At 33.0% G+C, this 19,695-nt stretch overlaps 1 protein-coding gene across 10 annotated transcripts in view; it reads left to right on the plus strand.

Moving 5' to 3' along the window:
* Nucleotides 1-19,695, plus strand: part of SLC25A36 (solute carrier family 25 member 36) — a 39,160-nt gene that overhangs the window by 14,690 nt on the left and 4,775 nt on the right. For 3 of the 10 annotated variants that reach the window (NM_001104647.3, NM_018155.3, XM_047448440.1), the window contains exons 2-6: nucleotides 2-166; nucleotides 2,938-3,015; nucleotides 6,602-6,702; nucleotides 14,402-14,468; nucleotides 17,191-17,480. In NM_001104647.3, the coding sequence (NP_001098117.1) occupies nucleotides 2-166; nucleotides 2,938-3,015; nucleotides 6,602-6,702; nucleotides 14,402-14,468; nucleotides 17,191-17,480 (701 nt within the window). Of the gene's footprint in view, nucleotide 1; nucleotides 167-2,937; nucleotides 3,016-6,601; nucleotides 6,703-9,822; nucleotides 12,206-14,401; nucleotides 14,469-17,190; nucleotides 17,481-19,695 lie in introns of those variants that run through there. The other 7 variants (XR_007095700.1, XR_007095701.1, XR_007095702.1 and 4 more) reach the window with 7 other exon arrangements.

Here is a 19,695-nt window from a genome sequence, read left to right on the forward strand (position 1 = left end):
GATGTGGTGGTACAGTGGGAGCTATTCTGACATGTCCACTGGAAGTTGTAAAAACACGACTGCAGTCATCTTCTGTGACGCTTTATATTTCTGAAGTTCAGCTGAACACCATGGCTGGAGCCAGTGTCAACCGAGTAGTGTCTCCCGGACCTCTTCATTGCCTAAAGTGAGAGCATAGTATTCAGGAGTGTTTTTTAGTTTGTTTGCGTTAGTGAGTTCCAGATGTTTGTTTACTTATATTCTGCCACATTGAAAATGATTTTTTATAAACCTATTTACAGAAGTTACTCTGAATTGTACTCATAAGGAATGATAATCCCTAATGGAGAAGAACAGTTAGACAGATAAGATAAAGTGTAATTTTACTTCCAAATCATGTGTATTTAGAATATTTCTACATTTATCCAGTGGAGTTTTTTCTAAAGCTATTATAAGTATTTTATTTTGGATTATTCATTTACTTTTGAAATGTGATAATGTTTAATGCTAACTCCTTTCGTGTATATTTTTAATGTTCCAAGTAAGTACATCCAATTAATGATAATCTGTGATTTTTATGTAACCTAAGTACAACTGAGACAGCAGAGTTCTAATGCTGTTCAGTATTTGTTTAACATTTCCTGATGGTTTGGAAAAGATTTGTTTTTACAGTTTGCCATACTTCATTATGTTGCAATTGGATTTGAAATTTCAAAACTATTAAAATTAGGTTTCGTATGTTTATACTTGTAAATAATGGAATGCCTTCGTGTCTGCCTTATCAGCTCAGTGTTTGAACTTAGTTCAGTAGTGTTTATTTTGTAATAGCAAATAAACTCATTCTGTGTATTTACCTTTGTTACTAAAAGGTTTCATCAGCCTTTTCTTTTTTCAAACTTGTTTACATAAGTACATGAATAGGTAGAATAAAATTGATAACAGTTTTGAATTAAAATGCCATAAGTGGTGGCTCACGCCCATAATCCCAGCACTTTGGGAGGCTGAGGTGGGTGGATCATCTGAGGTCAGGAGTTCGAGACCAGCCTGGCCAACATGGTGAAACCCCGTCTGTACTAAAAATACAAAATTAGCCAGGTGTGGTGGTGCGCACCTGTAATCCCAGCTACTCAGGAGGCTGAGGCAGGAGAATCACTTGAACCTGGGAGGCAGAGGTTGCAGTGAGCCGAGATTGCGCCACTGTATTCCAGTCTGGGTGATACAGTGAGACTCTGTCTCAGAAAAAAAATGCTATAGTTATACATAAATACTTCTATCTGATTTGTAATAGGAAAAGTATTTTAATATCATGATTTTGATATTTATTACCACAGATTGCCCCTCCTTAAAATTCTTCTTTTGACCTCTGTGATAATACTTTTTAATTCTCTTTTTCAGTAGTTTTGCCTTCCCTTCACAGGAGCTTTAGTAATCCTTCTGGGCTGTGTTTTAGTTCCGAAGTTTTTCAGGCGCTCTTTTAAGCTCTTTATATATTAATTTACTTAGTCCTCACAGTAACCAGTAAAGGGGTACTGGTTTTTTTTATTTACTGCTGATGAAACTGAGTATGAGAGTAAAGTTATTTCAGGGTCGTAGGGTTATCCATTACCAACGTTGGGCTTCATATCTGAGAAGTCTGGCTACTCAGTTCAGGCCTTAAATTAACCATTAGACCCAACTACCTTTAAAAAGATCCCTCTTAAGCAGATAGATGTTTGAGAACTACTTGGCCTAGTCTGTTAACTCTGAATTAAAATACCTACTCTTCAGTTTCTATTCCTTCTCACTGCCAAAACTTCATTTCATAACTTACTCCAGGAAAGTCTTCTGTGACTTACACATGGCTCTGTTCCTTTCTCTGCTGGGCATATATGTATCTAGGTTGTATAGTATTTGCTTGTTAATATGGTCTGTTAATTTATTTGTTTTGTTACAATTCTTTTTACCAAAACAAAACAGCAAATTTCCCAATGTCAGGGGCCTCGCCTTCTTTTTTCTATCTACTTACTTTTTCTAGTTATAAACAGCTAATTATACAGTTAAATACTCAGTATAGCAACGGTTAACTGAGTGGCAGGAGAAATAACAGGCCAACCATTCTGGTACCTTAAAGGACATTAGGGTGATAGATTCTGCTACAGCATTTCAATGGAATGGGGATGAGATAATACTGTAGTAGTAAGAAGTATTGTCCAATGTTGAGTAAAAGACCTGAAAACTAGGAAGGAACTACATTTCTAATTGGCGGGTAGTTATTAAGCTTTCAATTTGCTGGTAAAGATAGTAAAATTAAGGAAATCGAAGATAAGAGTAGCATGATCATATGAAAATAATGTAGAACTCTTTATCATTGTGTCTTAATCTTTCAGGAAAGAATCTGAACAGATTTTTTAATCATTACTAGTAAATCTATTATCAGTCTTCAACAATTTATGCTATGTCATGAAAAAACAATGTTTTGTGTGTGTGTGTGTGTGTGTGTGTGTGTGTGTGTGTGTGTGTGTGTGTTTTCTTTTTCTTTTTTTTTTTTTTGGAGACAGAGTTTCGCTCTGTCTCCAGGCTGGAGTGCAGTGGCGCAATCTTGGCTCACTGCAATCTCCGCCTTCCAAATTCAAGCGATTCTCCTACCTCAGCCTCCTGAGTAGCTGTGATTACAGGCATGCACCACCATGCCCAGCTAATTTCTTTATTTTTATTAGCAACGAGGTTTTACCAGGTTGGCCAGGCTGGTCTTGAACTTCTGACCTCAAGGAATCTGCCTGCCTCAGTGTCCAAAGTGCTGAAATTACAGGCATGAGCCACCATGCCTGGCCACAAATTTTTAATAAGTAAGGAAAACTCACCAGAGAAGCACAACATAATACAAATGTACTGGATTTAGACTCTAACTTTATATACAAAGTAAATAAAGTACCAGACTTTGAAAGATATTTCTGATAGAATTTTTTTTCTCTCTTTCAGGGTGATCTTGGAAAAAGAAGGGCCTCGTTCCTTGTTTAGAGGACTAGGCCCCAATTTAGTGGGGGTAGCCCCTTCCAGGTAAAAAAAAAAAAAAATTGTTTAAAGCAAGTTATGGCAATCTCTTTTGTTTCAGCACACCTGGATTTAATCATTTATAGATACAGTTAAATTTATAAATGTAGTATTCAATGTTTATGGGAAGTTAAAATACTTAATTTTCTTTTTAAGAATTTCAGATTCTAGCCAGAACAAATTTATATAATAAAGTAATGTTTGGTGGTAGGAAATGATACTGGATATTTTGAAGACTTAACAGTATTTCATTGCTGTTAGAAATTAACAGTAGTAATATGAATACAAAGGCTATGTTTCATAATGTGAGGGAGAAGGTATAGTATTTGCATTAAATTATTGATAGTCTTATACTGGGGGAAAATAATAAAGTATCGCATATTATACCTAGAAGTTTAAGGAACAGTGTATTTATAGATAAGAGTTTTAAATGTTAAAATTCTATAAATGGACCTGAGATTTTTTTGGGGGAGATGTTGTAATCAAAGTTGAAAATAATGAATATATTATATATCTTTATATTGCATAGACTAGGAGATATAAAATTACTAATATTTGCAGGATAAATGGAAATACTCTCGTAGCTAGTGGCAGTGTATTGAGTCTTCTGGGGAGATGCTTATCCTCTCATCTGACCATAGGAGTTAGAAGAATTTGGGGGTGCAGAATTGAAAATCTACACAGGGCTAAGGCTGCAAAATACTCCTGATATTTTGAGATAAGTGTTTGCTAGATTTGTGAGTTTAACTAAACCAGCTCTTGCATCTTGAAAAATTTTGACTCTAAGAAAGGTAAGCATTCTTTTAAACAAAATATTTTCCTTGGGCCAAAAGGCATTTAGGATATCTCGACTTTTTCTGCTTTTCATAGCTGTCCTGCTGTGCGCTCCACCTGAAGTTAGTGTTCCTTTCTCACTTTCCACATAGAAATTAAACTTCAAAGAAACAAGATAGAAAATAGAACCAAAGGACTAGGAAGGATGTCAGGGCTTAGAACAGGGTTGAAGAAAGGGACAAAAAGTCTAAAAACCTGAGAATTTGTGTATCGTTGAAGGGCAGTAAGTGATGTACATGGCCTTTACCATAATAAAAAGGAAGCTATTCAAGGAAGATGCTGAAGAGGTGTCAAGGTGATAAGGATAAAGAACTATGGTGTGACAAACAGGTATCAGTAACCATCTAAAAGGATGGGCATGGCACCATGTGTAGGTGCAAAGGACCACATAGTAAGACCATTGTGAAGTAGTTTTTAAAAAAGTCAAAAGACAGAGAACAAGCAAAGGAACTAATAACTAAAGGAACAACCAAAGGAACTAGCAGTTAGAAAGGGGAAGATCTGGAACTCTTAAAACTAAGTCATTGTTTGGCTTATGGGACAAACCAAACAGATAGAATGGTTGCAGTCCCTATTAAGCCAAAAGGACATGAAAACATAACTTCGTCATTTTTCTCTGACACCATTGCATCTTAGATTGTTAACCTCTTCCATGATAGAACACTGTATAAAGTTCATATTTAGAGTGAAAATGCTTTCTGTATCCAAACCATGTACCAGATCCATGTCTTGTTATTTATTACGTTTCAACTTTTTATGGGTTCTTTTCTCTCTTTAAGAAAATATCCAAAATTGCATCCTAATTATAAAACAAGTTAAAAGAAAAAAAACACCATTAATAGACAGTTCATGTATATTCTTCCAGTAATTTTTCTCGGTTATCATATACATAAAAACATGTATACTTTATTGTGCTTTACATAAACTGAATAATACTAAATGTTTAACCTAATCTAACTGAAGTTTTTCCATGATAATATGTGGGGTGATTTTTTTAAAATTGTATAGCATTCTAGCACTAATAAACATTTCCTTATTATACATTTAGATTATTTTTAGATTTTCATTGTATAAACAATGGTTCAGTAAACATACCTCAACCTTTATCTTTGAATACTTTAGGAAGTATATTTTTTTAGGATGGTCACCTAAAATTAGAATTTCTGGATAAAAGGGCATATGCATATTTAAGACTAGTGAATATTGACCGGGCAGAGTGGCTCACACCTGTAATCCCAGCACTTTGGGAGGCCAAGGCGGGTGGATCACAAGGTCAGGAGATCGAGACCATCCTGGCTAACACAGTGAAACCCCATCTCTACTAAAAATATAAAAAAATTAGCCGGGTGTGGTGGCGGTCGCCTGTAGTCCCAGCTGCTCAGGAGGCTGAGGCAGGAGAATGGCGTGAACCCGGGAGGCGGAGCTTGCAGTGAGCCAATATAGGGCCACTGCACTCCGGCCTGGGCAAAAGAGCGAGGCTCCGTCTCAAAAAAAAAAAAAAAAAAAAAAAAAAAAAAGGCATACTGGATTTTTATCCCTTATCCATAGCCTTACCAATGCTGGCTACTGTCCATCTTTTTTAAATACTTACCAAATGGACTAAGAGGGATTTTTCACTGTTTTAATATGATTTATTTAATTTTTGGTGCAGTCATACTTTCTTGTAATTTGTCATTTGTATATCTCTCCTGTGAATTGCCTATATATATTTCATGGCCATTTTCTCATTAGGATTTCTTTTTTTCTTACCAGTTTCTAGAAATGCATTGTTTATTCCTCTTCCCAACTTGGCATCAAGTGTATCTTATGTTTTTCTTTCTCATAAATTAGAATGTTTCATTTTCAGTTATATTAATTTTCCTTTTTTCTTAAGTACATTAAAAAAGGTACAACAGTGAAATTCTCATTTGTATTTGTCACTCTGTTTCTTATTGGATGAGTAATCAGGATTTTTGGGGAAATAACTGGATATTTCATACAGCAAGCAAATAATTCAAAGCATGGGAAGTTAACATAGAGGTGGTAGTGGGGATGCATAAAATCGTAGTCAGTAAGTTAACAATGAGGGAAATAATTAAATTTCACTCAGTGTTTACAAACATTGGAAAACATTCTGACCTGATGGGTCTGATTTCTTTTGTTGGAATTGTTTTGTCTGTTTAAGGATAATGTGAATTACTGTGTGTGTAGTATAATTAGAATATACCACAGTATCTTAAAATTGTTTAGCATATACTTTAATCAGTTGGATCTGCTTCACCCTCTTCTCCCCATGAAGAAAATTATATGTTAAGTGCTCATACCATATCTACTTATCTTCAGTAACTATATTTAGCCTTAGCATTACACCAGCCTTACAGCCTTATTCATTCATTTAGTTTCTAAACATTAAAATCTTAAATACTTTTTGTTTAAATTAGTTATTATTTTGTTTTTATTTTTTTTTAATTTCATTTTTTCTTTTTATCTTCTTGGTTACCAAGTTTTAGTGAGTTAAGTGGCTGTCAGAGTATTGGAAGGGGGTCTGTTTGAGGATGAATGGTAGGAATTTTACATTTGATGTTGTCTTATTTTAATGAGTCAATACAGAAAGTACTTCAGAGTATTTATGAAAAGTGTAAATCTAATGTTACATGAGAATGTGGCTAGGACTTTATGGTTTTTAAATTTCTCCATTCTAAAATTATGAAGATCAATTTATATGTAAATCTTACGCATTAAGAACATGCTTATTGATAAATCTAAATCTCTATTTTAGAGCAATATACTTTGCTGCTTATTCAAACTGCAAGGAAAAGTTGAATGATGTATTTGATCCTGATTCTACCCAAGTACATATGATTTCAGCTGCAATGGCAGGTATGAATGTATAATATTAAAAAAAAAAAAAACTTTCTGAAACCTAGAGGCTTAATATTGAATTATAAGTTTGTAGTGAAAAGTTGATGATTAATGTGCTTTTCATTGATTAGATGATTTTTACGTTTATCGATATAAACCAAATTAGGTATATGTAAAATCTGTCATCAGTTGACATTTTTGTAGTCAGGAGTTTACATGCTAGGGTACAAGTAATATATTTATATTGCCTTGTGTAGTCCACTGAATGTTTAGTGATCATTGTTAACAGTTTTAAGAATCCAACCATAATTACACTATAAATAAGTTATGGAGCTGTAATTTACTCTTCTCTCCTCAATTTCTGTTAGTGCCTTTTCCCTTTTTGCTGCATGTTTTGGCTTCTGTCTGAAATGTGTCGGCAATTCTTGGTAAAGTATTCATTTTGTCCTGTGCTCAAATGCTGAAATTTTTGTGAGTGATGTATTATTATTGACAATTCAGTTACTATGTGTATTTTTTAAAATTGTTTATTATTCTACATAATTCACACTAGACAGCACCTGAAATTTAGACACTGGCTATGTGTACATGCTTACTATAGAAATGTTTCCAGGAACTCTCTGTTTCTGTCATCACTGATAAGTATATATGATTCTGAATTAAAATAACTAGTTTTAGGTCTTTACCCTGCCATAAAGATAAACAGTTGGTTTGACCAATCTGGTTCTGGAATCATTTGCTGCTATGCATGTTAGACAAAGCCACGAACTTTGATTTTCCATTGAAAATTCTCCCTAATATCTGAGATTTATTGTATATTTACTCATATCTCACATTTTCAAATTATGCTGTAACTTTATAAACTGTAGCTGCTTTCATCAGCTATTGATCAATAAATTGAATGTCAATTATGTGCTTAATAATGAGTGCCTTAAACTGTTAAACACTTTTGGTTTAGAAATAAAGTGAATCAATTTGACCTATATACTTCATGAAGTAAGTAAGTTTGAAATACAAATTTCTGAAAGGTCAATAGCCCTTATCGTATTACAAATTGTTTTTAAGGCTTTTTGTATTTATTAATTGTCAGTTGATTCACTGAAGCTTTAAAACTGGAAGGGACAATCCAAAGGTCAAAAGAGTGAAATACAATCATTTACCAATAAGGAAACCTTGGGCAAATTATGTAATTTATGTGAACCTCTCTTAGCTTACCCATGGAATGAGTCAAGTGGTCTACATAGATTTGGATTTTGAGAATTAGTTCTTTCATTTAGTGTTATAGAGATTATCTTGTTACAACTAGAATTATTTTTAATGTAATTTTTACAGATGTTGAATATTAGTAGATAGGATTTTTCCCCTACGAATTTGGATGTAAGGTAAAGGTTGGTGGCCAGTGACAAACCTTATAACCACTTTATCAGGTTCTTTAAAAATATATTTCTGAATTACCAGTGATTATGTTTTTGGCTTATAACCTCAGATAATTATAAAGAAATGTTAATCTTATTTGAAAGAATTGGAATCTAGAAAGTTAGATGAGCAGTCATTTTATATTGATATTTGTTATATCAGTATAGCAAATGCAGAGGTTCAGAATATCTTTATTTCCACTGGAACATCTTATTTCATTGGAGTATCTCATCAGAATTTATTACTGTATTTGTATCACATTGCAAAGAATTTCAGTAGAATTGTCAGTTTGCACTTTTTTCTCAAATGTGTACAAATGTTAACATATAGTTCATTTTTATCTGTACATTGATGCCATTTCCCAACTTGAATTCCTCAAGTTTTGGTAAACTTACAATCTCATACTTGTTCAGAGGTTATTGCACTGTACACTTACTGTGTAGAAAATACTGTTTGAATTTGTTTGCAGTTACATTGTTCTGAGAACTGTGCTCTCAGAGCTTCTGTGCACTATTCATGAGCATTAACACTTAGCTTTGCAGTTTTATACATAACTATATGGTTAGTAAAACTGAATGGTCCAATGCAGACTCATTAAAGTAGGCTTTTGCCCCCTTTGTTCTTGAAATAATCTAGACCAGATTACTCGGGGTTTTTTTTAGGATTATTTTTATAGGTCTAAATATGAATGATTTGGGGGTATGAAGTACTTAAAGATAGTTCTGTGAAAAATCATTTTCAGCTGTCTATTCAAGGGAAAAAATGCTAACCTTGTCACTTTACTACACAAAACCACACTAAAATAAACCATTAATGATACTGCCTGCAAGATTTTAACACACCAGATAGCACACACATTAAGGATTTATAAGGCACTGTACGTAATTTTTATTCCAAGTGACCTCTCAATTCATTTTCATTTTGCATTTTATCCATATGAACTCATGTTTAATTTAGATAATAAAAATTTATTTTATTAAAAGGACAGTTTATTTAAAGTGGGTCTTTTTATTTGTTGTAGTGCATACTATAAGAATTTGTAAGCCTCTAAAGTTGAGCTATAAATTTTCATGCATTAAAAATTTGTTTCAGTTGTGAGGATATTTAATCAGATTAAATAATGTTGACTCTTAATATTTTGCCTGCCTTTTTTTTCTCCTACACATGACCTTTGACAGACTAAGTATATCTCAGCTATTGAGGGTATCTGTTTTGTTGCCTGTATATTTTGTTTAAATTAACTTGTATATTCCTTTGTATACACCTAGGCACAGATGTATGCAAAAAAAATTTGTTAAATTACTTCTTTCTTTATACTAATTCTCAATTTTTAAAAGATTTTATCTGGCATGTATATACTTTTATATAGAACATTATAAATGTAAAGGAAATGAATTCTAATTTTAATTGGATTATGTATTCATACAGTTATTCTCAATTTTTAAAATACTAATAATGTAATCATTGAATGTTTCCTACATACGTAGTGGGTTTTATTTGCTCACAGCATACAGTTATTTTTCAATTTATGTTTTTCTATTAGACTTAAATTTCATTATAATAAAGGCTTTTACTCATTAAATACAGGTATTGTCTTGCATTTATGAAATATTTTTTAAAAATATTTTATTTGTCCATGGCAGTTAATTCAGCCAGATGGATGGTTGGACAGATGTTTTGTGTGTTTGTGTGTAAACATTCTTCCTGTTTTTTGTTTTGTAGAACACAAGAAATTAAATACAAAATAATGCAAAATATTTCATAAGTATGGATGTGCAATATTACTGGCCATAGTGCAAAAGGTGAAAGGTACTATTGTAGCAACGTATTCTTTATTTTATTAAAAATTTATATAAATAGCTCCAAAATGAAGTTACTTGAATATTCTGTTGGTTTTTTTTTTTTTAAGATTTATTAAGTAGGCTGATTGTTAAAGGATAGAAATTGTGTTTTCATCTCCTTAATTATAATAGATAATAGTGGTAGGAAAATGGGAGATGATGATCCCCTCTAAATATTCCCTTTTGACAAGGTTAGCATTTTTTCTTTAAGGCAGAATTGATCTTCTTTTAGGTAAGTATTTAGATTCTGAAACTGCTGCAGATGGCAGGATTTTCAGTACTCGGTACATTTTTTTAAATGGCCCATTTTGATATTCCTTTCTTTTTTTTAACTTAAAATTTTCAAAAAAGTTAGATCTCACAGTAAATATTTCTCAAATCCTTCCAATAGGATTCAATTTGTACACATGTTTCTGATGAGGTCACTGCTTGTTGTTATGATACAGAAAAGCCTGTGTCTATTTTAGGCATTTACTGTACATTTCTCCCGAGAAAAGAGTGAGATCGTGTCATCTCATGCTCCCCATCCGCAGGTCACTTCCTGTAGAAATATGGACTAACTTAAACCTCGTGAGTACTGATCTGAGCATCTCTTGCAGCCTGTAGTATAAGAAACCCACCCTGGGATTTTATGATAGCTGTGGAATTAGAAGGCGGGAAATTAACTTTTATTTCCTGAATTTGTGTGTGCATTGCTAAGTCTGATTCCTTTATAATATTCCTTCTAGAAGGAAGAATGAGGTATTTTTCAGTCATCATGTAATAAAAGCCTGGGGTCTTCAGCTTGGCCATAACAGCCTTGACCTCCAAAGAATGTAATAACAATATATATATAGCTGTAAATGGTATTATACTATCTTAAAAGTTTTAGATAAAATCATAGTTCTCTTTGCTTAGCATAACATATTTAAAAGCCTAATACAATGCTTTCCATTCTTTTTTGTCTGTTGATACTTGGCTTTCTTAGAACTCTTTTGCAAAAAAAACAAAAATTAATTACTTTGCAAATAAATGCAGGATAAGAATATATGGGATCTTAGCTGTTTTAGTTTTAATTACTTTTAAAAGTGGTGTTAATACATTTAGGAGGTTAGGTGGGCTTTGTTCTTACAGAAGTTGAAATAAAAAGTACTGAAAATGCAACACTACAGGTATCACTCACTTAATGAAATCAACATTTTCAGCAAGTTTAAGCAGAATTTTTCTGTTAATCTGGTTTTTAATTGCTCGACACTATCAAATGGAATCTTACTTAGATAAAGCAAAACTTTTAAAGTAGCATTTTTAAAAATTTTTTAAGCTTTCTAACATACTAACCATCCTACTAAGAGTATGGCCAATATATTGGCACTTTGCTTTAACTGACTGTGGAGCAATATTAGTTCTTCTTAACTTACAAATGGATCCCTCATGTCGTCTTAAGTTCATTTTCATGTTTCACTAGGTGCTCAGAATCTTAATATAAATTGGCAAATTATGAAAATGTCACAAAATTAAAATGCAAAATAAAAAGTAATAGGCAATTTCTAAATTTCAGGGGCACCATTCCCAGTATCTTTGTGTGTGTTTGTCATATAAGTAGTGGGAAGATATGTTTAGCTTGGGCTAACCTCAAATTGCCTTACCATATATAATGCTAAGTTACGATAAATTTTTGTTTTTTTCCATTGGCTTCATTTCTTAGATTATTAGATTATATTTATTAGATGTAATTAGCCTAGTAATGTCTATTTAGTTTGTTAAAGTGTCTTTGGTTAGGAGAAAGTAATAGCATAAAACTCAAGGACCTGAGTTTTTAGCGGTAAAGGGCTAATAGCTAAAACTGTGGATTGTGTCTAGATTCTTTACCTAACCCAATGGTTTGCTGGCATTTAGGTTAGTGTCTTTATAAAGAGCTAGCTCTCATTGGGAGAGTTGAGCCAGAGCAACCATAGTAAACATAGCTTACTGATAATAGCAATTACGTAGGGATAAGATAACATTCTCTCACTTACCTAAATTTTAATGTGTCCTGTTACATAGGTTAATTTGTGCTTGGAAATGAATTTTAGTTAAGTGAGAAATACCTGTTGTTTGCTTTCTGACATTATAGTAATATGTACAGAGAATAATTTAAAATTATAATTTATGGGTCTTTAAAAGGTTTTGTTCCTAACAACATTTATAAAAATTTATTGTACTATTGTAAAGTTTTTTATATATGGGTTTTTTTCCAGCCTCAAATTCTTTTGTGACTTGGAAGAGTATTATGGACAGAAGCTTGGGTACTGCTTAAAATTTATGTTTTTAGAAGTAGAACTTTTATTTAAAAAAAAAAAAACTTAGGTGCTCATCTTCTTTTCAAATAAGTATAATAAGATGAATGAGAATTTTTACCTAGATTGGCTGTTTTTTAAAAAGTTTGATGTAAAGATTCCCAGTTTTAAGCTTTTAAAATTCAATAAAAAGCAAATAGTTTTTCTTAAGATTTCTATAAAATGATTAATAAAAATCATTATAGTGATGCAGAATATTTTGTTGGTTTATGCTGCTTAGCAGCTTTTTACTCATAAACCCTTAATTTTGCTGTACAGACATATTTAGCTATTACAAATATTTAAGTTTACAAAACAAGAATCATTAAATTGGAGTTTGACCAGAATATTGATGTCTGATTGCTTTAAAATATAATTTGAATATCCTAGCCTTTTCATGTAGAAAAATGAGGTTCAAAAGAAGAGAAAAATAATACTCTATAACTTTATTCTCAGTTAAGCTAGAACCATGCAAGAAAATATTTAAACTGGTCTGATAGTTTCATGTTTTTCTTTTCTTTTCTTTTACCAAGAATATATGCATGAAAAGAACCTTTTATTTAAAAAGATGTTCCTGGCAGCCTGCTCAACACTTTAAATTTTATCAGTTTAGTACCTGCTGATGCGTCTAAAACTGTTGGTCCCATTCTAGTTTTATACTTACATATGTAGTATTAAAAGCACTTAAGAGAAATGTAGAATATATAATCTTTATAAAAGTATTAAAGGAATTATTTAAATTGAATTTGTATCCCATTTATCTTGCTTGCTAAATAGATTTAATTGGAGCATCCATTTGTATAACGTCTGGCTATTTCTACAATGTTAAAACAGTGGGTTGAGGAAGTAAAATTTGAGTTACTCAGTTACTGACATAGAAAAGAACCCTGTGAGACCAAATTCAGCTTTGGAAACAATTTAGTGTAATTATTTTGCATATGTAGATACACCTTTGAAAGCCAAGAAAGGTTTATGATTGGATCTGTACTATATTAATTTAAAAACAAATTATTCTTAAGTATATTGTAGCATTTCTGTTCCTGTAAGTACTTTACTCATCTTAAATGTACTGATCATTAGCCACCTTTATAAAAAGAATGTGCCTGACCCACTAGTATTTGATAGAAATATTAAAACAGTTAAGATCCTTAAACATTTCTGCATATAATTTTTTATTGAGTAAATGTAACTTAACGTAAGTAGTTCTATGAAGTCTGTGTAAATTAAAACCCTGTTTTGTGTAGATGAAGCAATCTTTATAAGTTTCTGTCATCAAGACTGTATTTTGTGTGCTATTTTTCCATAGCTAGGAAGGTGGCAAGTAAAACATATGCACTATCCTAGAAACATACTGTTCCAGGTAGATCTTAATTTACTACCTGGAATGAGCCATCTTAGGTGACCACCATTCTGCACCAATACCTAGTACATAATACTTTAGTTTTAAAGTAAACTAGAGCTGTCTTCTACCCTGAGTTTATTCCATGTCTATAAAAGAGGGAACTTCCAATTTGTGACTTTTTGAACTTTTGAGTTTTTGTATGTGTTTAAGTAAATGACGATAGGCCTGTCCTATTAACCCTAACAAAAACCTTACTGTGATACGGTTATTTTAACAGTATTAGTATGTATATATGTAGAAAGTATTCATGGGGCCAAACAACAGTCTTTTCCACTATATAATCAACTAAAGATCAAACTATTGGTAAAATTTGACATTTGTGTAGAATTCATTTTGAATGTAGTGATTTGGGATGCTAATCAAACCCCAGGTAACTGTTTTTTTTAGCTGGTTTTAAGGATCCCAAGTGCATGCTTTTTAGCCGTAGAATACACAAAATGTCTATGTGTTTGTAGAGATGGATTTCTGAATTCAGCTTAGACAGTAGAGAGCACCCTAAAGGATATTCTAAGTAGGTTGGGAAAGCAATTTATATTCATTTTGCTTTTAAAAGAATCTGTTAGTTAAGGACAGAATTTGAGAATTCATATAGATTGGAAGTGAAGACAAATGTTTGTCGTATGTGAAAAGTGTAATATATACATAAATTAGTAGTTTATTTATATACATTTTCTTGAATGTAGATTTATCTAATTTTTAAAACCTTAAAGTTAATAGTGAATTCTTCATTTTTACCAGAGTTCATTTTAAACATGTTTGTTTAGGTTTTACTGCAATCACAGCAACCAACCCCATTTGGCTTATAAAGACTCGGTTACAGCTTGATGCAAGGTATGTTAATTCCTTAAAATAAAATTGGTTAAAGTGGATTTAACTAATTTTTTTTCTACAAAGTTTTTCTTTCCTTTGCTGCTGAATTTGTTTGTTGTTGTAGTTTAATTTTGAAACTTGGGTCTGCCATCAGAAAAAAGATAATGTAAGAGTTGACAATATGAACTTTTCCAGGTGAAAAAAGTATATTATTAATATGTGTTGTTTTGTTTTGTTTTGTTTTAAAAAGAGTGGCTAGAAAGATACCATAGAGAAACAGAAAGGAAAGAAAGAGATAGATTAACCCAGCCCAAAAGGTAATACTTTCCTTACATGGGTACTTATAATTGGCCTCGCAGAAGCTAAGTAAGCCACAAGGTCAGCTAGTCTAGACTGAATCTTTGAGGATCATTGCTCAAATTTAGTGACCTTGTGAATAGAGAACCCTAGGCTGACAGACAGTTCTCATATATCGTCTGTTACCACTGACCACTTTATAATAGCAAGATTCATTCATTCAACAAATCTATATTAGCAGATACTGCTACGTCTTAGAGATGCACCAGGAAACAGTGGGGACTTATTTTAAATGGAATAATCAAGGAAAGGTTTTTTGAACCCATTTTAAGCTGAGGAACCAATCGGTGCAAACCTCAGAGGTTCTAAAGTGTAGGGCCTTTGGTGTTCTGGGAACTGAGAGTAGGCCAAAAGCAGTGCTGCGTAGGGTCTTGCCATCTCAACTCTCCTACTGGCTTTAGAATAGAGACTCTTAAGTAACGAGATGGTCCTATCTTATATGTTACAATAATAATGTTAATGGTTTTAAACTATTTTAGACTTTCAGTCTGGAGTAGGTTCTGTGTATAACATGTTTCTACTGTTTTTATATTTTGGTGTTTGGGAAATAGTGTTATGTCCTATAGGCTTTAGGTAAAACTGATCTAATAAATCATTAACAATTATGCCTGCTTAAATATCTGTTTTCCATCTTCTGTTATGTTGAACTATATACTATTTGGAAACTTGAAAAGAAATATCTAATTGTTTCATCTGAAATAGATCTTTTAATGAAATCTTAAGTGTTGTAGCAAAACTCCAAGTTTATTTCTTAAAGCCACATATCTGAAAAGTAGTGGTAGCTAAGACTTATTCCAAAGATTAGAAAGTACAAGATGCTAGTCCACATTATTCTATTGTAAACTACCAGAGTTAGGTTTCACTATGTTTAGCGTTGCTCTATGAGGAATCCAGGAAAAGCATGACTTAAAACTCTTTAATATTATTTTTTTCCACTTATAATTGTAACACAAGCTGGCACAATTCTTAGGCTTGTGGGGTTGGGGAATTGGATAGGGGTGGGGTAATAATGAAAGGTTGACTTGAGGATTCTGGTTTATAAGGCTGAGGGCTGAGCGCAGTGGATCATGCCTGTAATCCCAGAGCTTTGAGAGGCCAGGGCAGGAGGATTGCTTGAGGCCAGGAGTTTAAGAACAGCCTGGGCAACATTGCAAGACTTAATCTCTATAAAAAATGCATGCCTATAATCCTAGCTACCTGGGAGGCTGAGGTGGGAGGATTGCTTGAGCCCAGGAGTTTGAGGCTGCAGTGAGCCATGATTGCACCATGGAGACTCCATCTGTTAAAAAAGAAAAAAAAGAAAAAGAAAAAAATTAATAAAAAAATAAAAATAGGGCTGATATGTCACCTTTCAGGATTTGTATCTCTTTTAACTTTCTTGTGAGGAAGGATCTTTAATGAAACTAGTTACAGTTGGTTTGTGGATCATTTATCTAATAGGTATTCAATATCTAAAGACAATCCATTCATAAAACTGGTGGAATCTGTAGGTAATTAAGTGGGTGTTGTAGTTGTGATTTTATTTTATGTCAGAAACAAGTTAGGTATAATTTATAAATAGGTAAATTTTCTGTTTTTTTAGTAGGTAGCATTTAAACCTGTCTCTTATAGATAAGGACCTGTTGGGGGAATCAGTGTAAGGTAACAAATATTGTTAAAACTCAAAATTACATGTGTAGGAGATGTTGTATTCTATAAGAGTAGGTGCTGCCCCCTTAAGTAGAACTAAGGAAATTGTATTAGGAAGAGTACTGAATAAATATAACACTACAGTTTCTCATTTACTAGTCACCAGGGAGACTGATATGACCATTGCCTTTAAATGATCATAGGGAATTTGACTTACATTCACCCTATCACTTCTTGGGAGAATATGAGTGGGGTTGAAAGAGAATCCCTCAGGTGCACAGAATTTTAGTTAATCATACTGCCTGGTTTATGATATTCTATCATCATTGGTGTCTCAGTCATTCTATTTATGTTACTAAATGCAAAGGAAATTCAGCTTACTTAGAACTGGAATTAATACAGTGTGAGGATTTTTGTTTACTTTGTTTTGTTTTTGTCTTGAGCTGCAGTCAGGGTGTATAGTTCCTAAAGGATTTTGTTGCTTATCCCTGCCATGTGAACCCCAATGAGGACATGAGACCGAAGATTCAGTGTAGTGCATTTTGCATTCAGTAAAATAAACTATTTACATATCACCCATTTAATATGACAAATTTGGGACAAAAGAATAGGAAATCTAAAATATGAATATTGTTTTAAAATTCTAATTCTTCATGAGTTAAAGAAGGCCATTCTTTTATTATTAGAATGACATATTTTATTATATTTTACTTACTTTAAAAAACCTATCAGTAAGATGTTTCTTTTTGCTTTTCAGGAACCGCGGGGAAAGGCGAATGGGTGCTTTTGAATGTGTTCGTAAAGTGTATCAGACAGATGGACTAAAAGGATTTTATAGGGGCATGTCTGCTTCATATGCTGGTATATCAGAGACTGTTATCCATTTTGTTATTTATGAAAGTATAAAACAAAAACTACTGGAATATAAGACTGCTTCTACAATGGAAAATGATGAAGAGTCTGTGAAAGAAGCATCAGATTTTGTGGGAATGATGCTAGCTGCTGCCACCTCAAAAACTTGTGCCACAACTATAGCATATCCACATGGTAAGAAGAGTTATCTATTAAATCAGAAATATTTTCCCACCCCAGCCAACAGCTCACTTATTAAAGCATTTATAATTTTACTGCATTCTGGTATAACAAAATACAATTATTGGGAGTTCATAATGAGATTAAATCTGGTTAAGTAATGTAGGCTGTATTAATAGGTCAGTATTATGCTATCAAATAGCATGGTGGTGATTGAGCATGAGCTCTGAAGTCAGTCAAATTCCAGCCTTACTCACTTCAGCTTGGTGACTTTTGGGCAAGTTTCTAAGTTTTGAAAAAAGTATGTATGTAGGTGCTATACTAGATAGTTTACATACATTACTAATCTACATAAAAATTCTCTAAAGTACTTATTTTCCCTGTTATGCTAGAACATAACCAGAATTGTTCTCCTTTTCAAATTGAATACTGAAAAGAAATGTAAACATGAAATAACTTGCCCAAGGTCACATACCTACTTAATGGTGAAGCCCAAATTTGAATTAAAGTCTGTAATCCCAAAGACCAAGCTATTTTACATTATTTCATGTTGGCAAATAAGTATGTGTTAATAATTCCTTTTATTTCTGTATTTAAATTTTATAATAGCCTATTTCATTAATAGCTAGGTAAATCACTTAAGAATTTATCTGCTACATGCTGAGGTTTTTTGGTAGCTTTTTTGGTTGTTTTAAGTGTCGCTTTTGATTTTTGCATGTTTAAGATTTGTTTTTTAATGTAAGCGCTTCATTTTTGTTCACTTACACTGATTAATATTTACCGTCTCCATTGTATATTATATCAGGAAAAATGAGCCAGGCCTAGAAAATGTGTATTTGCTCTAATAGTAATTTATGAAACCAACTCTTTAACCAGGTTGGACTATGAACTTATCTCAGTTTCCTGAAGGAAGTTCCTGACTTTTCTAAAAGAAGTCAAAATAGGACAGTATCAGCAATATTGTTTAGATACTGACCTATGGGGTAGGTTAGGATGGTGGCCTGCTAAGGTGTAAGGAACAGAGTTTTGGGGTTTAAACAGTCTTTTCCCTTGAAGTGAGATGATGTCATTACAGGAAGAGGTACAGTTGATAAACAAGATACATTCTTTTTTTTTTTTTTTTTTTTTTTTTTTTTTGATAGGATCTCACTGTGTCACCCAGGCTTGAGTGCAGTCACATGATCATAGCTCCCTGCAACCTTGAACTCCAAGGCTCAATTAATCCTCCTGCCCCAGCCTCCCAAGTAGCTGGGACTATGAGCTCAGGCCACTATGCCCAGCTAATTTTTTAATTTTTAGTAGAGACATAGTCTTGCTGGGTTCCCCAGGCTGGTCTCAAACTCTGGGCTCAAGCGATTCTCCCACCTCGGCCTCCCAGAATGCTAGTCAGGCTCAGGCATGAGCCACCACACCTGTCCAAACAGGACATTTTGGAGTTAAATGGCACGAATCTTTAAGACAGAACAGATTTCAAGTAAATAGTTACAATTGCTGTGGGTTGCTTTAGACTATTTCCCTAGGCCCATCTGGAATACTGTGCTGAAAAAATTTGAGGAATAGTGGATGTAAAAAAAAGTAGTTACATAGGAAGCTGTGAGTTCTTGTCCCAGCTTCTACCCACAACTGGCCAAAATTTCTCAGTAGCTCCAATTTCTCACCTTTTAAAATGAGGAAAAATTGGACTGACTAATCTTTAAGGTTCATTCAGCTCTTAAAAATTTATTATTTTTGCTTACCTGATTCCCAGACTGGGTTTTATAGCTGGCAGCTAGTGTTTGGAACATTGTCAACTTCTTTGTCCACATGATGTTTCACATTCATATATGTGGACTGTTTTGAATAGATTAATAATGCTATTGTTTCTTTGTAGTACTCACTTTAAACAAATCTTTTCTGCTTGTTTCTCACTGTATCCTTTTTATATTCATCCTGGATGCCACCTCTTTACTGCCTCTTCACCTTTTCCTCCTTCTCATTTCTATTCTTCCTTTTATCTGTTTATCTAGCATACAACTGATACTTCTCTCTTGTTATATTGTGTCTTTTTACATTCAAAGACTATAAAGTCTATAATTAATGTACATGATTTTGGCCATATTAGAAGTTTGATGTTACTATAATGTGACTGGTTTCAATAAGCTACACATTAGAAGCCATCCTTTTTTATCCTGAGCTTACACTTACAGACTGATAAATGGGATGTGCTCAGTTATAATTAGAAGAGTGTAAA

This window comes from Homo sapiens, chromosome 3 (assembly GCF_000001405.40).
Source record: "Homo sapiens chromosome 3, GRCh38.p14 Primary Assembly".
Lineage (NCBI taxonomy): Eukaryota > Metazoa > Chordata > Mammalia > Primates > Hominidae > Homo > Homo sapiens.